The 17,764-nt window shown below is 39.5% G+C and overlaps 1 protein-coding gene and 1 pseudogene across 14 annotated transcripts in view, besides 2 other annotated features; one reads left to right on the forward strand and one right to left on the reverse strand.

Moving 5' to 3' along the window:
* Positions 1–17,764, forward strand: part of PCDH11X (protocadherin 11 X-linked) — an 843,856-nt gene that overhangs the window by 325,868 nt on the left and 500,224 nt on the right. The window lies entirely within an intron of this gene.
* Positions 75–846: an enhancer, noted in NCBI's record as "OCT4-NANOG-H3K27ac-H3K4me1 hESC enhancer chrX:91360316-91361087 (GRCh37/hg19 assembly coordinates)". NCBI's record gives its function as "activates a minimal SCP1, AML or CMV promoter by ChIP-STARR-seq in naive and primed H9 embryonic stem cells {active_cell/tissue: H9 hESC(naive and primed)}" and the evidence as "EXISTENCE:reporter gene assay evidence [ECO:0000049][PMID:30033119]".
* Positions 5,096–5,877: an enhancer, noted in NCBI's record as "OCT4-NANOG hESC enhancer chrX:91365337-91366118 (GRCh37/hg19 assembly coordinates)". NCBI's record gives its function as "activates a minimal SCP1, AML or CMV promoter by ChIP-STARR-seq in naive H9 embryonic stem cells {active_cell/tissue: H9 hESC(naive)}" and the evidence as "EXISTENCE:reporter gene assay evidence [ECO:0000049][PMID:30033119]".
* Positions 7,856–9,235, reverse strand: EIF4A1P10 (eukaryotic translation initiation factor 4A1 pseudogene 10; annotated as a pseudogene).

Here is a 17,764-nt window from a genome sequence, read left to right on the forward strand (position 1 = left end):
TGAGGGATAATGAGGGAGGTTGGAGAAGAGAGTAAAAATAGGCCTCTTACCGGATTTGAAATTGGTGAGATGTTTCTTGGGCTGGTCGGTCTGAGGACCTGAGGTCCTAGGTGGATCTTACGGAGCAAAAAGCAGGAGGACAGGGGATTGATCTCCCAAGGGAGGTCCCTCGATCTGAGTCACGGCACCAAATTTCATGCGCGTCCGTGTGAAGAGACCACCAAACAGGCTTTGTGTGAGCAACATGGCTGTTTATTTCACCTGGGTGCAGGCGGGCTGAGTCGGAAAAGAGAGTCAGCGAAGGGAGATAGGGGTGGGGCCGTTTTATAAGATTTGGGTAGGTAAAGGAAAATTACAGTCAAAGGGGGTTTGTTCTCTGGCGGGTAGGAGTGGGGGTCGCAAGGTGCTCAGTGGGCAGGAGTGGGGGTCGCAAGGTGCTCAGTGGGGGTGCTTTTTGAGCCAGGATGAGCCAGGAAAAGGACTTTCACAAGGTAATGTCATCAGTTAAGGCAAGGACCGGCCATTTACACTTCTTTTGTGGTGGAATGTCATCAGTTAAGGTGGGGCAGGGCATATTCACTTCTTTTGTGATTCTTTAGTTAGTTCAGGCCATCCGGGCATATAGTGCAGGTCACAGGGGATGCGATGGCTTGGCTTGGGCTCAGAGGCCTGACACTTCCCTCTACAGTTAATCATTCTTATTAGTTTCTCAAATATGTTTCCAGAGTTTCTGTATGTAGATATAAACAAATATTTGTAGGTTATCTCATAGCTGTTATAAACAGTCCCTTATACATGGATATTGGGACTTATTTTCAACTTTAAAATGATAAAATGGTAAACAGTGCTGTAATGAAAAATCTTTCACACATATCATTTATCCATATTTCTAGAAATGGGATTGTTGAATCAGATTAACGTTAGAATCAATTTATCTAGCTCTAAAAATGTTGCTGTTCTTGTTGGAATCACACTAATTTTGATGTTAACTTAGAGAGAATCATCAGCTTTATGATGCTGAATCCTTCTACCCAAGATTACATCATGTCTTTTATTCCATCCTAGATTTTTGTCCTAAATTATGTTAAATATTTTTCTTATGACTATTGAACAATTCTGGCTATGTTTACTCAGACATTTTGTTCTTTTTCATTGTTGTTTCTGTATGTTCTTGCCATCTTAGCAAAGTAATTATTGCAAATTTTTAAAATATGTGAATATGGAGCAAAATTGGAAGTAACACAGTATATATTTTTATCAATTTTGTGCAACTCCAGACACTTTGTGTTAATCTTTAATAAATATTTTACTAAGTTTTTGATATCTACTATTTGATTTGGCATTCCTCAAATACCTGTTGATTAAAATATTATAAAAACTTCCTACTGGGAAAAATTTTTAAAAGCCATATTATCATTTATTGGGTTATCTTTTTTAAATAATTCAAATACTGAATTAAGTCTATAGTTAACAAGATATCACTTACATTTTCTAAGACACTCTCTTGGATTTAGCTGTGTGGCACTATTAACCAAAAATAAATTCTAAGGCCATCCAATCATCAAATGGACCCCTCCTCTTGGCCAAGGGCATTCCACAGTTAACCTGAAAAACCAGTTCAGGACATGACAGAAGAGGGGAAGGCACATGCCTCACTATACATCCCACCAGCATTAGCATCAACACAGATCTTAAATCTGATAAGAAACATTTACAATCTATTCTCTCAGAAGCCTATTACTTGGAGGCCTCCTCTGCATGATAAAATCGAGGTCTCCACCACCCCTTAACTTAATCCAAACATTCCTTTCTATTGATAACTCTCTTTCAGCCAATTGCCAGTCAGAACATTTTTAAATCCATCTATGACCTGGAAGCCACCCCTCAATCCCCCTCCTCAATCCCTTCATCACTTTGAGTTAGTCTGCCCTTCCAGATGGAACCAATGTAAATCTTACATGTGTTGATTGACGTGTGATGTCTCCTCAAAATATGTAAAAACAAGCTGTACCCTGACCACCCTGGGCATATTTTCAGGGCCTCTTGAGGCTGTGTCATGGGCATGTCCTTAACCTTGGCAAAATAAACATTCTAAACTGATTGAGACCTGTTTCAGATACTTTTGAGTTAACATTTTGAGAGCTGTCTTAGGTACTTTTGGGTTCAAAACACCCTTGGATGTTAATGGAATCCATTGTCCAAATCACCAAGAGGCTGGGTGTGGTGGCTCACGCCTGTAATCCCAGTACTTTGGGAGGCAGAGGCGGGCTGATCACCTGAAGTCGGGAGTTCTAGACCAGCCTGACCAACATGGAGAAACCCCGTCTCTACTAAAAATACAAAATTAGCAGGGCATGGTTGGCACATGCCTGTAATCCCTGCTACTCGGGAGGCTGAGGCAGGAGAATCGCTTGAACTCAAAGCCCCCACTTTGAATTGTCCCACGTTTCTGAACCAAAACAATGTATTTCTTAAATGTATTTGATTGATGTCTCATACTTCCCTAAAATATATAAAACCGAGCTGTACCCCAACCACCTTGGGCACATGTTCTCAGGACTTCCTGAGGGCTATGTCATGGGCCATGGTCACTCATATTTGGCTCAGAATAAATCTCTTAAAATACTTTACAGAATTTGACTCTTTTCATCGACAATATGCCAATATGTATAGGAAATCACTAGTCAAATTAATTTATCAGTGCTATTTGATAGTTTGTGAAATATCTTTGTATATAAACAATATGAACTGATAAAGAAAAAATATAGTTCTGATATAAAGAAGCAGAGCTCTTTGACAAGCTGAGTGAAGATAATTTAATCATGAAGGATCCTTGGATATTATTTAGTTTTTAGACATCATGTAGTCCAAGATCTGTTCTGAAAACATACCTGGTTCAAAATGCAGATTTCCTCAAAATGTCTACATCAGTTTAAAATGAAATATATAACAATGTTCATTGGTTTCTTCTTCTTTATGTCATTAAGGTGCTTCAATAGCAATAGACTGGCAAGTGCATTCAGCCACCTTGGACTTGTGATTCACTCAGGAGAATTTAACACTGTGATTAAAAAAAGTAAAAGGGATTTAGTATTTCTAAGGCTGACTGCCTTGGCAAGACACTGTACTTCAAATCAGCGTGCATCCATTTTGAATATTAAGTAAGACAGTGAAATAAATTTTTGGTAGAGGCTTAGAAAAATATAAAACACTGTCATTCTGAGGTTAGTTTTCGGCTGCATTGATTTTTGTCTTTTATACCTCAATATGATTAAAAAAAAAAGCTTTCCCTAAATCTGTCAATATAATGTTTCACCATTATGGTACACATATAATATAATGCAGACTACTCTGTTTTCCACTCTGACCTTTACTACATGGCTGGTTTTTGATAGAAGAATGTGGGAGGAAATACTTTTTAAATAGAATTCCAATAATGCATCCGTAAACATAACCTCTCATCCTTTGAAATACGAAGTGTTAACCTTGCTATAGGATATATTATTCCTTTTCATTTTGATAAGCCGTAAGAGGTAGGGACATAGAATTAAAATGCATAGATAACTATGGTCAGGATTACCTAATATTAACCTAAATTATGTCCTGTTAAGCATTGAATAATGTTAAGTAAAATGTTCTATTATCATTATAAGTTTTGTAATACTGTAACCGCCCAACGGGTTCACCTTGCCCGCTGCCTAGACAGAGACGATTTATTAAGACCAGGGGGACTGCAATGGAGAAAGAGTAATTCACTCAGAGCCGGCTGTGTGGGAGACTGGAGTTTTATTATTACTCAAATCAGCCTCCCTGAGCATTTGGAGGAATGCTTGGGGACTGGAGTTTTTAAAGATAACTTGGGCCAGGCACGGTGGCTCATGCCTGTAATCCCAGCACTTTGGGAGGCCGAGGCAGGTGGATCACCTGAGACCAGCCTGGCTAACGTGGTGAAACCCTGTCTCTACTAAAAATGCAAAAATTAGCTGGGCGTGGTGGCAGGCGCCTGTAGTCCCAGCTACTCTGGAGGCTGAGGTAGGAGAATTACTGGTTGAGTCCAGGAGACGGAGGTTGCTGTGAGCCGAGATCATGCCACTGCACTCCAGCCTGGGTGACAGAGGGAGATTCCATCTCAAAAAAAAAACATTTAAGATAACTTGGCAGTAGGGGCTTGGGAAGTGGGAAGTACTGATTGTTCGGATTGAAGATGGAATCATAGAGGGGTCGAAGTGAGGTTTTCTTGTTGTCTTCTGTTCCTGGGTGGGATCACAGAACTGGTTGAGCCAGGTCTGGGTGGTATCAGCTAATCCATCAAGTGCAGGGTTTGCAAAATATCTCAAGCACTGATCTTAGGTTTTAAAATAGTGATGTTATCTCCAGGATCAATTTGGTGAGGTTCAGACTCTTGCATCCAGAAGCTGCATGACCCCTAAACGTAATTCCTACTCTTGTAGCTAGTTTGTTAGTCCTACAAAGGCAGACTGGGCCCAAAGCAAGAAGGGAGTCTTTTTGGGAAAGGGCTATAATTTCATTTCAGAGTCAAACCATAAACTAAATTCCTTCCCAAGGTTAGTTTGGCCTATGCCTAGGAATGAACAAGGACAGCTTAAAGGTTAGAAGCAAGATGGAGTTGATTAGGTCTAATCTCTTTCACTATCATAATATCCTCAGTTATAATTTTTGCAAAGATAGTTTCAAGACTAGGAAGTTATTTTTTGAAGATATAGTTATTGAATAAAACACTGTATAATTTAGCTATTGACCGATGGAGCTGCATTTTTTCTCAGCAGTTAATCTTTTCTTTAAGTTACTTCATAATTGAAATAGCTACTTTTATAGATTGATTAGTCCCTAAATATAAATCAATCATATATTTAAAAGGATTTTTATTTTAAACTTATCCTTGAAAGATTGTGAATAAAACAAATTAGAAGGTCTACGAAAGTTCCAGCTTATTGAAAATGAGATTTGTATTGTATAGACTAAGTAATTCAATTGGAATACATAAATCTTAGGCTCTTACAAAGAAAGAGAAAAATAAAATCTTAGACTAAGATTTCACAGTACCAATGCCAATATAGACAAGATACCTAAACAAATCAAAGAAAAAGTTTTGAATTTCAGTAGACACTGTCAACCGAGGAAAATGACAAGCCTCAATCATTTTAGGAGATTTATTTGCCAAAATTAAGGATGCACCCGGGAGACAGGTCTACGCCTTTCTCCAAAGATGATTTTGAGGGCTCCAAATTTAAAGGGGAAAGGGTGGGATATTGAGAAGCACACAGTTTTTACATAAACAAGGGGGGGGCAGAGGAAAAATGTGAAGAATCTGCATTTTACATAACAGACAAAATGGGGAAGGGGAACAATCAGCTATGCATTTTTGTCTGGCAGGCTGGGTGACTGCACCTGTAAAGATAAGCTATCAATTTGCATGGCCATGGAGAAGTTTTTAACAGCTGGCCAGGAATTTCCTTGTGGGCAAAATATGGGGGAGGCGGGTAGCCTTTCATCTGGTAGCCATCTCATCGAGGAACCAAAAGGGGGAGGCAGGTTTGTGTGACTCAGTTCCCAGCTTGACTTTTCCCTTTGGATAAATGAGTTTGGGGTCCAAAAATTTAATTTCTTTTCACAGCACACCATATTCTTGATAGCTCCAAATATCCCTTTCTGGCTCTCTTTTTTTTTCTTAGAGGAACCAGGACATGCTGATAACCTTTCTTAAGTTATGTTAATATGTAAATGCAGTCAACATCTGGGGTATTCTAGGCCTTTGGTAGCTCCACAAACAGCAAATATTTTCACCTGGACAGACCTTCTAAATACTTGGCAAAGGAAAGATTATTATGAGCCTTATTTAGTTTAGTCTGCAGCAGTGATATTTTATTACCAGCATTCTCTGTAGGTTTGGAGAATATGAAAGTAAGCTCTGTATTAGCCTTAAACTTTCTGAGCTGGATTTGAATCACCTAACGCTAAAAAAAAAAAAAAAAAAAAAAAAAAAAAAAATCAGCGTCAACTACTTTCTAAGCATATGTTTTCGCAATACAGATGAGGTTTTATCAGTAGTTTTTTACAAGTCTGTCTAGAAACTTCATATTCTACTCAGTGCTTCTAGTTATTAATGAGAAATGAATTTTTTCATGAAAATGTAGTTGCCCCTCTATTAGAAACTGTTCATATGAGCTGTATCTACTCATCTTAAATAAAAATGTAATGCTACTCGAAGAAAATAAATTTCCTCAAATTAATATTTCATTTTTTTTTAATTTTAAGGTAGAATGTAAGAAGAAAAATGTATAGGAAATTTTAAAAAAACAGCATTTATTTATCCAGTTTCCTTTAGTCACAACATTACTAAGTTGAAAGAGCCGTAGAAGATATAGTCCAATGTCATCATTTTACAAAAGTGAAAATTGAAATTCTGAAATATAAAATAGTTTCCCAAGTCACATAGTTAGTGACAGAACTGAGGCTATTTCACAACCCCACTCTAATTCTCATTTTTCATTTATTTATTTATTTATTTATCTGAGACAGAGTCTCACTCTGTCGCCCAGGCTGGAGTGCAGTGGCCGATCTCGGCTCACTGCAAACTCCACCTCCCAGGTTCACGCCATTCTCCTGCCTCAGCCTCCCGAGTAGCTGGGACTACAGGCGCCCGCCACCTCGCCCGGCTAATTTTTTTGTATTTTTAGTAGAGACGGGGTTTCACCTTGTTAGCCAGGATGGTCTCGATTCCCTGACCTCGTGATCCACCCGCCTCGGCCTCCCAAAGTGCTAGGATTACAGGTGTGAGCCACTGCGCCCAGCCTCTAATGCTCATTTTTCTAAACTGCACTGATTATCACACAACCAGGAATACCAAAAAAAAAAAAAAAAGGTATCAGCTATAAGCTATAACCTTTGCTCTTATGGAGCTTATAATTTCATAAGAGAGAGTATACAAGATGAACAACTGTGTGTGATCAGAACAGGCAAGATAAGACATGCGTTATTTGTGCAGAAGACAGCTACATCATAGCAGGCAGGCTCATAGATTTGAGAGAGGCTTGGCAAACAGTATCTGGGATAGGGTGATGTTCTGGTAAAAAAAAAAAAAAAAAAGTATAGTCATCATAGTGTCCTACTGTTTTAAATTTTTGAAACAAATTCTTTCCCAAAGAATTCCTGAAATGTTTGGTATTTTGATATTTTCTCTTAATGGAAAATGCAAATGAGTTAAACTATTAATGATTTTCATCCTATAATTGCTACCTACTGTCATTTGTGTGGACAATTTCAATAGGCATGTTCACTTTTTAGATAGAGATTTATTATAATGTTTTCTTATGACAATTTGATATCATTGTGTTGTTTACTTATATTCATTTTAAAATTATTCACTTATCTTTTATTCCACCATGATAATCCATTTATAGATTTAATTCATCATGAGGCTCCTAGTAATGAGTTTATGATTAAGAAAATTTTGCTATTAGTTTGTTCAGCCATTTTTCAATTTTTTTTTAAATCATGGCACCTGAGTCCTAATTATAATTAATTGCTAAAGTTGATCATTTGAAGCTTCTTTGAAGAATTACTCAAGTTGTTTCAGTGTAAATTAACTCTAAAAAAGGCAGTGATTTATATTTTCTATTTTGGGTGCAAGAGATTAACGCCAGTGCTAGATTATATTTAAAACACTTAGTTTATTGATTAACTTCCCTGAAGAACATATGACCTTATTTTTGCTTAAAACTATTTGCAGATCCAAAATATTTGAGGAAGGTCAGTGAGTGTATAGGGGTTAGATTCAGGGGAAGGAACAGTACTTCTACTTTAACCATAATACCTACCTTTTTATCTATTTTTTTTTTTTTGCCTCAAAAAGTGACATTTATTCAAAGAAAAAAAATGACAAGATGTCTATCCCTTGGCTCCCTTCCTTCCCCTCTCCTGCTGCTCCTCAGCCCCCCGAGATTGAGCCCTGGCTGGGGCTGGGTGGCAGGACAGCCCCTCAGATGAGGTCAGCAACATTGGGGGCATTTCCTCAATGGAGGTGTTGTAGAAGGTCTCAATGTCTCGAAGAGTCCTCTTGTCTTCTTCTGTCACCATGTTAATAGCCACATCTTTACGGCCAAACTGTCCACCTCGACTGATTCTGTGGATATAGTTTTCCCTGTTGGTGGGAAGGTCATAGTTGATGACTAAAGAAACCTGCTGCACATCAATGCCTCTGGCCAGCAGGTCAGTGGTAATCAAAACTCTGCTAGAGCCAGAACGAAACTCCCTCGTGATCACGTCTCGCTCCTTTTGGTCCATATCTCCATGCATGGCGGAGACAGTGAAATCTCGAGCATGCATCTTCTCGGTGAGCCAGTCCACCTTCCTCCGGGTATTGATGAAGATGACTGCCTGGGTGATGGTCAGGGTTTCATACAAGTCACATAGTGTGTCCAGCTTCCACTCCTCTCGTTCCACGTTGATGTAGAATTGGCGGATACCCTCCAGGGTCAACTCTTCCTTCTTGACAAGAATCCGAATGGGGTCCCTCATGAACTTCTTGATCACCTCAAGCACATCAGAAGGCATTGTAGCTGACAGCAAAACTACCTGGGTGTTGCTGTTGAGCTTTTGGAATATGTCATAGATCTGGTCCTTGAATCCACGGCTTAACATTTCGTCAGCTTCATCCAGTACAAACATCTTGATGTATTTGGGAGATAGGTATCTCCGGTTAAGCATATCAAACACACAGCTAGGGGTACCCACGATGATGTGGGGAGCTTCCATCTGCAGTTTCTGCACCTCAGCACGCACATTGGTGCCCCTGATACAGGCATGACAGGAGGCACCCATGTAGTCTACTAGTGCCATGACCACCTTCTGTATCTGCTGAGCCAATTCTCGAGTGGGTGCTAGGACCAAGGCCTGGGTGGCTTTTAGATCTAATGCAATCTGCTGCAGAATCGATATGGCAAATGTGGCCATTTTCCCAGTCCCAGATCAGGCTTGAGCGATTACATTATAACCCCTGATACAAGGTAGAATGGCTTGCTGCTGGATGGCAGAGGGCTTCTCAAAACCATAGGCATAGATGTCACGGAGAAGGGACTCCGAGAGGTTCATGTCATCAAAGCTGTCAACAATCTCATTCCAGTTACTCTCGATGACGCCTTCGGGCTCCATCCCATCGGGGCCATTGTCTCTGGATCAGGAATCCTGGCTTACAGACATGATCCTGAGAAACTAGCCTTTTTATCTATTTTCTATATTGTGGCTTTGATTCTGTTGAATTTCCATTAAAAAGGTGGAGAGGTGTATTACAAATTGTAAACTTTTCTAACTTTTAAAAATCACTTTCCTAAAGGCAAAGATCAAAGTCTTTCAAGGTTCTTTATATCCCAATTGTAGTTTCTGCTGCTTCTTCCTTTACACAAACACTTTGTCTCATCCAAACTTATTTTCTGAACATTGTCTAAACATACCTGTGGTTTCCTTGCTCCCTGCCTTGCATAAACTTGCAGCTTCCATCTTGGAAACTCTCCTCTCCTACCCTGCACCCCTACTGGATCAAAAGAATGTCACCTGTCCTTTCCATTTATTTATTTATTTATTTATTTTTGAGACGGAGTCTTGCTCTGTCGTCCAGGCTGGAGTGCAATGGCGCGAACTCGGCTCACTGCAACCTCTGCCTCCTGGGTTCAAGCGATTCTCCTGTCTCAGCCTCCCCGAGTAGCTGGGATTACAGGCCCCCACTACCATGCCCGGCTGGGGTTTTGCCATTTTGGTCAGGCTGGTCTCAAATTCCTGACCTCAGGTGATCCGCCCTCCTCAGCCTCCCAAAGTGTTGGGATTACAGGCATGAGACACTGTGCCCAGTCCCTTTCCATTTTTGAAGTTAAACTCTCCCCATGAAGTCTTCTAATTCATGACAACTGGAACTGACCTCTCTATCCATTGATCTCCAATACCAATTATCATTTATTCTTACCACTACTTTATATTGCAGTTATCTATGTAGACTAGATCAACATGACTGTATTTGGGCATTCAATAAATATGTGTTAAATGAAACACATATTTATTGTGAGGTACTCATAGACCACAAGTTTTGCAGAGTAATAAAGTTTAATTTTATTCTTCTAGTTTCAAGCAGAAAGAAAATAATGAAAAAATATGTATTTAACTAGAAGGAGACTGTACTAGTCAGGGTTTTCTAGAGGGACAGAACTAATAGTATATATGTATATATTAAAGGGAGTTTATTAAGGAGAACTGACTCACAGGATCACAAGATGAAGTCCCACGATAGACTGTCTGCAAGCTGAAGAGCTAGGAAGCCAGTAGTGGCTCATTCCGAGTCCCAAAACCTCGAAAGTAGGGAAGCCAACAGTTTAGCCTTCAGTCTGTGGCTGAAGGCCTGAGAGCCCCTAGCAAACCACTGGTGTAAATCCAAGAGTCCAAAAACTGAAGAACCTGGAGTCTGATGTTCGAGGACAGGGAGCATCCAGAGGAAGACTCAGCATGTCGGCTTATCCCACCTTCTTCTGACTGCCTTTTCTAGCTGCGCTGGCAGGTGATTGGATGATGCCCACCCAGACTGAGGGTGAGTTGGCCTTTCCCAGTTCACTGACTCGAATGTTAATCTCCTCTGGCAACACCCTCACAGACACACCCAGAAACAATACTTTGCATCCTGCAATCCAAACAAATTGACACTTAATATTAACCATCACAGATTTCTACTACTAAGTCTCTCTCATGTAACATAGCTTCAGTGGAATTATATTCTCAGATCCATAGTTTCTCTGAGCGATAGTTGCCCATAATTTAAAATGTAAAATGTATACTCTGCAGCAGCATGTTTGTAAGGCGTGTAAATGTGAGTGTTTTAGTTAGCTCAACACTTAGCTTTTAATGCTTAGAATGACATACTTGAAATATATTTTTAATTTTTCTTGAGACTTTGACCAGAACTGGGGTTAATCCATTCAGACATTATTTTGGTATTCATAGATCATCTTGAAGGTATGTTTTATTAAATAGCCTATAATATTTATTTAATTCAAAACTGATTTCTAACTTTTAAAATTTACTCATGGTGGCACATTAAGTTATTGAGCTCAACAGAGAATCAAGGAACAAAGAGTAACAGCTCTTTCTACCATCTTCTTAGATTTTCAGATTGATCCAATACAACTTTTAATAGCGTTGGAGGCCAAAACTAATATTAATACATTAGCATTAATGCAGGTGTAGACAGATGTAGAAAGCTCCAAGAAAATTAAATTCTTAGATAATCTTTCTGGCTGTTTTCTTATTTTAGCAAATGTATTTTTATTTTATTTATTGATTTATTTATCTATTATTATTTTTTGAGACAGGGTCTCCCTCTGTTGCCCAGGCTGGAGTGCAGAGGCACAATCACAGCTCATCGTAACTCCCCCTCCTAGGCTCAAGCGATCCTCACTCCTCAGTCTCTTGAGTAGATGGGACTATAGTCATGTGCCACCATGCTTAGCAAATGTTTTGTATTTTTTTGTAGAAACAGGGTCTCACTATGTTGCCCAGGCTGGTCTTGAACTCCTGGGCTCAAGAAATCCACTATCCTGGACCTCTCATAGTGCTGGGATTACAGACATGAGCCACCGTGCTCAGCCAGCAAATTTATTTTATAATTAAAAAAAATCAATGTTGGGTTAGCAGTGTTATATAGTATGTAGAATACCATCCTGAGGATTAGGAAACCTTGTTAGGAATTAGTTGTGTGTTTTTGGGAAGGCCTCTTTTGCAATATGAACCTGAACATGTTTTTCTATAAAATGAGGGTTCAGAACTTGGGGATTTCTAAGATTTCCTCCAGTTCAATCCTTTTATGTCTTTAAACTTGTAAAGGGTAGGGAAAAAGCCCTCAAACAGTAATACTGTGGTAGGCATGGTGGCTCACGCCTGTAATCCTAGCACTTTGGGAGGCCAAGGCGGGTGGATCACCTGAGGTCAGGAGTTTGAGACCAGGCTGGCCAACATAGCAAAACCCCGTCTCTACCAAAATACAAAAATTAGCCGAGCATGGTGGCGGACACCTATAATCCCAGCTACTCGGGAGGCTGAGGCAGGAGACTCACTTGAACCTGGGGGTGGGGAGGTTCCAGTGAGCGGGGATCGGGCCACTTTACTCCAGCCGGGGTGAAACAACAAAACTCTGTCTCAAAAAAAAAAAAAGTAATACCATATTCACACAAATACTCTCTTTGTTCTCTTGAAGAACAAATAACAAAGGGATCTGTATATACTAGCGTAAGTGTTTCTTTGAGATTCACTCTCTTATTTCCTCATATAATGCAAGGGAAAGGCCATAGACTAATTTTTTATTAAAGTAAATACAAGTAATTTTTAATCTAGAGGTTTATTTCTATAGCAGTAGAAATTCTTCCACATTAAATACAGGAAGGAAAAAAATGCTTCAGAAGCACATTTGAAGAGAGCTATATTCAATTTCACAGGAAAGATTCAACATCAAGTAACCCCTGGGTCCCTTCAGTGTATTGCTCTAATTTATACATCAAAGTGAGAACAAGCTTGCTGAAACATAAGGCCTGAAGGAACAACTCAATGTTTCTAGCAGAATGTAGTTCAGCAGTTACACAGTCCATGAAATGCTCATTAACAAGCTGAGGCAATATGTACTGAGTATACAGGTTCACCTTTGCATATTAAGGAGCAATGTGTAATAACATTTATGGCTCTTGCTGTTCCATATGCAGAGAACACGGAAATTAGAGCCGGGCTATATAAATGTCAAATGTATTTATGGTCATGCATGCATACTGCTGTTTTAAAACAGTAGTCTTAACGGCCACAAATGTTTCATTCATATGCAGGTAGTTGGCAGCCACCTTTTTTCTTGAGCCACAGATTACTTCTGCTATAGATTTCCATCCTACAACACAGATCTACCACCAACAGTTTTATGAAGCCATATGCCCTTCAGAAACACTGCAGTTTTGGTTTTCCCTTCATAATAATGTACATTATCTTAATGTTTCATAAAAATATTTCATTTAAAGGCAGCAAAGTAAGACATCAGGAAAAAAAGATGCAACTAACATGTAACTAAACGAGACCCTAAGCCCCAGAATTAAAATATGGTTTTCTGCTGTACTAGCAGCATGAGATCTCTTCACCATAAAATCTCCAAGCTCACAAGAAGGGAAGAGGGTGGAATATATATATATGTATTGACTCATTCCAAAGCATTCTTAAAGACCTTAAAACCAGAAAACAATGAAATTAACATGTCAGCTTTCCCCTCCACTTCTAGGAAGTCTTGTCTGACTGGCTTACCCTCACAGCCCTCCCTCACATATGCTTTAGAGTATAAACACGTATCTTTTAAAATTAATAGTTCTATTAGTATTTTTTTTCAGATTTGACTCATTCCAAAATTTATTGCATTTTAATGCAAACTAAGCATGCATATTATTGGTTTGGTTATAATGCAGTCTTTTTTTTTTTTTTTTTTTTTTTTTTTTGAGACGGAGTCTTGCTCTGTCACCTAGGCTGGAGTGCAGTGGTGCAATCTCGGCTCACTGCGAGCTCCGCCTCCCGGGTTCACGCCATTCTCCTGCCTCAGCCTCCCGAGTAGCTGGGACTACAGGCGCCCGCCACCACGCCCAGCTAATTTTTTGTATTTTTAGTAAAGACGGGGTTTCACCGTGTTAGCCAGGATGGTTTCGATCTCCTGACCTCGTGATCCGCCCTCCTCAGCCTCCCAAAGTGCTGGGATTACAGGCGTGAGCCACTGCGCCCGGCCAATATAATGCAGTCTTGAGATAATCTGATAAATTATTTATTTATTTTTAATTTTAATTTTTTAATTAATTTATTTGGTTTTTTTTGAGACAGGGTCTCTCTGTTGCTCAGGCTGGAGTGCTGTGGTGCCATCATGGCTCACTGCAGCCTCCACATCCCAGGCTCAAGCAATTTTCCCACCTCAGCCTCCTGAGTAGCTGGGACTACAGGGATGCACCACCACATCCAGCTAATTTTTTTAATTTTTGGCAGAGATGAGGTCTCATTATGTTGCCCATACTGGTCTCCAACTCCTGGGCTCAAGTGATCCTCCCACCTTGGCCTTCCAAAGTGCTGGGATTGCAGGTGTGAGCCACCACACCTAGCCATTGATTAATTACTTAAAAATCAAAGCAATATGCTATTACAGAACCAGACCTTATAGGCAACAAATTACCCATGTCACATACTTTTTGAAGTACATTATTGGGTATAGATATTCCACATTAACCAAAAGTACTTTATTAGAAAGATAGGAAATTGAAAAAATGGAGATGGAATTTTGGGAGTCCCTAAGCAATTCAATAATTTCTCAAAACAAACTTATTAGTAATAAAACCTACAGTTTTCCATTATTATTTTCATTATTTTATTATTTCTATTATTTCTAAATAAACTAATTTACATAATGCATGTTTTCAAGCCAAGCTGGACAGCTAGCACATTTCTTACCAAGTAGTGTGTGCTCTTAAATGCATATTGAATAAGACACATTTATGCATTTTCTATTTTTATTTTACACATTTAATTGTTTATCTGTGAGGTAAATCACATTTTAATTTTTTGCAAAATTAAACAAGAGGCTTTTACCCAATAGCATTTTGGTCTACCTGTACTTTTTGAGAGAAGAAATAGCTTTGTAGTCTTGATACATATTGTCAGGTACTTTAACATGATATTTCATAACAGTTTCAAAACACACTGTTAGAATGGAATAAGCTAAAAGGGGACAGGAGTGATATGCCATGATATTTTTCATGTAATACAAAGTCATGCCTATACCATCCATCATATGAACTATGTAGTAAAGTTGATGACTTGTAGAATGGAATGGCACCATTTTCTAACTTTTCTTTCTTTTTTTTTTTTTTTTTTTTTTTGAGACAGAGTCTCTCTCTGTCACCCCGGTTGGAGTGCAGTGGCGTGATCTTGGCTCACTGCAACCTCCGCCTCCTGGGTTCAAGCAGTTCTCTGCCTCAGCCTCCCCAGTATCTGGGATTACAGGCACCTACAACCACGCCCGGCTAATTTTTGTATTTTTAGTAGAGGTGGGGTTTCACCATCTTGGCCAGGCTGGTCTTGAACTCCTGACCTCGTGATCCACCCGCCTCGGCCTCTGAAAGTGCTGGGATTACAGGCGTGCGCCACCGCGCCTGGCCACCATTTTCTAACTTTTCTAAGATGCGAAGGTAAACAAAGAGATAAGTATGGTGAAAATGCAGATTCAAAATAATTAGAAATTCACTTTTGATAAAGTAATTCAAATGCTAATTGTCGAATTCATATTTTACACTTTTGATCATTAGCCTTGTATTTTTATTGTGACATCATAGTGAAAGAGTGATGCCTTTTAGATTCGTGAAGAAAGCAGACCCATACATGGGTGGAAGCTAATGTCTTGGTGCAGAAAACAACATGTCTTTCACAAAGCGACAATTACAACATGACTGCAATAGTAGCTGACAGTACACCTTATTTGAACATGTTTAGTCTTCTCAGGCATAAATGATTTAGACTGAACAAAATTAATAGCATAGGGTTCTCCAAAAACACTTATCTATAGTGTATGCACTATGGATTTTGACATGTTTTAATCATAAAGTCTTTTCTACTAATAATAATTATTTTAGAGGTCTGGCAGATATTCATGTAGTGGCTTCCTTTTTCTGGTTTAGGCAATTATTAAATTATCTGACTATGTTTTATTCTCTTAGTAGTATAAGTATGTAGCTGAGATAAACAAACATATCTATTATTTTTATGAAAATTAATTATGAGTTATGTATTTTTAAATTTTAGTAGCATGATCATTCATTTTAATCATAGCTTCTAAAATTTTTTTTGTTTTGTTTTTTGTCTTTTTTCTTTTTTTTTTGAGACAGAGCCTTGCTCTGTCACCCAGGCTGGAGTGCAGTGGCGTGATCTTGGTTCACTGCAACCTCTGCCTCTTGGGTTCAAGTGAGTCTCCAGCCTCAGCCTCCCAAGTAGCTGGGATTACAGGCATCCGCCACCATGCCCAGCTAATTTTGTATTTTTAGTAGAGATGAGGGTTTCACCAGGTTGGCCAGGCTGGTCTCGAACTCCTGACCTCAGGTGATCCACCCACCTCGGCCTCCCAAAATGCTGGGATTACAGGCGTGAGCCACCATGCCCCAGCCTAAAATTGTTTTTAATCCAATCTGAGAATTAGCCCAGTTACTCCCATTGAGTAATTTAGGTATTTGTAAACATATTATGTTGAGTCACTAGGGTGTCTTGTGCCATCAGTGCACACTTGTCCTCATCTAATATGTGTGTACTCTGTCACACAATGCTTCTCCTATTTCTTGGACCGTATTAGCAATAATTGAATAGTTGAAGCAAAATTGTTTAAATGTAAACAAAGATGATATCAATTTTTTCAATTTTTATTGATTTTACTTTATTTATTTATTTATTTATTTTTTGAGATGGAGTCTCTCTCTGTTGCCAGGCTGGAGTACAGTGGCGCGATCTCGGCTCACTGCAACCTCCACCTTCCGGGTTCAAGTGATTCTCCTGCCTCGGCCTCCCGAGTAGCTGGGACTATAGGCGTGCACCACCATGCCTAGCTAATTTTTGTATTTTTAGTAGAGATGGGGTTTCACCATGTTGAGCAACAGAGCAAGACTCCCTTTCAAAGAAAAAAGAAGCAGTCATTTCTGTTTTTTTTTTTTTTTTTTTTGAAACAGAGTCTCACTCTTGTTGCCGAGGCTGGAGAGCAGTGGCACGATCTCAGCTAACTGCAACCTCCACCTCCTGGGTTCAAGCTTCTCATTCCTCAGCTTCCCGAGTAGCTGGGATTACAGGTGTCTGCCACCACGCCCGGCTAATTTTTGCATTTTTAGTAGAGATGGGGTTTTGGCATGTTGGCCAGGCTGGTCTCGAACTCCTGACCTCAGGTGATCTGCCCACCTCAGCCTCCAAAGTGCTGGAATTACAGGTGTGAGTCACTGTGCCCAGCCGCAGTCACCTCTTGAAAAACCAAATCCAACCACAATGTTAACCACAACATTATTCCTATCCCTGAAATAAATATAATGAAACTATTTGGGAAACAAGGTTTGAAATTATTGAGCCATGAACTGGTTGGTGTTTTCATGACCAGTTTCTAAATTGCTTCTATGATAAGTCTTTAGTTCATAATGTGTGTTTCTTTCTGTCATACTTAACATGCCTATTATATTTATGAAACTTACTAGAAATTCCTCTACAAAGAAAAGAAAAAAATAAAAGAATCAATGGATGTCACATTAAATAGTGGTATAGTAAGAATGAAGGCCAAGTGATATTCTTGAGTACTTAATGTTTACATTTAAGAAAATCGTAATCTGGGCCAGGAGCAGGCAGTGGCTCACACCTGTAATCCCAGCACTTTGGTAGGCCGAGGCGAGTGGATCACCTGAGGTCGGGAGTTTGAGACCTGCCTGGCCAACATGGTGAAACCTTGTCTCTACTAAAATTGCAAAACTTACCTGGGAATGGTGGCGGGCACCTGTAATTCCAGCTACTCGGGAGGCTGAGGCAGGAGAGTTGCTTGAACCTGGGAGGTGGAGGTTCCAGTGAGCTGAGATCATGCCACTGCACTCCAGCCTGAGCGACAGAGCGACACTCCATCTCAATAAATAAATTTAAATAAATACATACATACATAAAGGAAAATCATAATCTGAATGTATTGCCCTCCATC

This window comes from Homo sapiens, chromosome X (assembly GCF_000001405.40).
Source record: "Homo sapiens chromosome X, GRCh38.p14 Primary Assembly".
NCBI classification, from domain to species: Eukaryota; Metazoa; Chordata; class Mammalia; order Primates; family Hominidae; genus Homo; species Homo sapiens.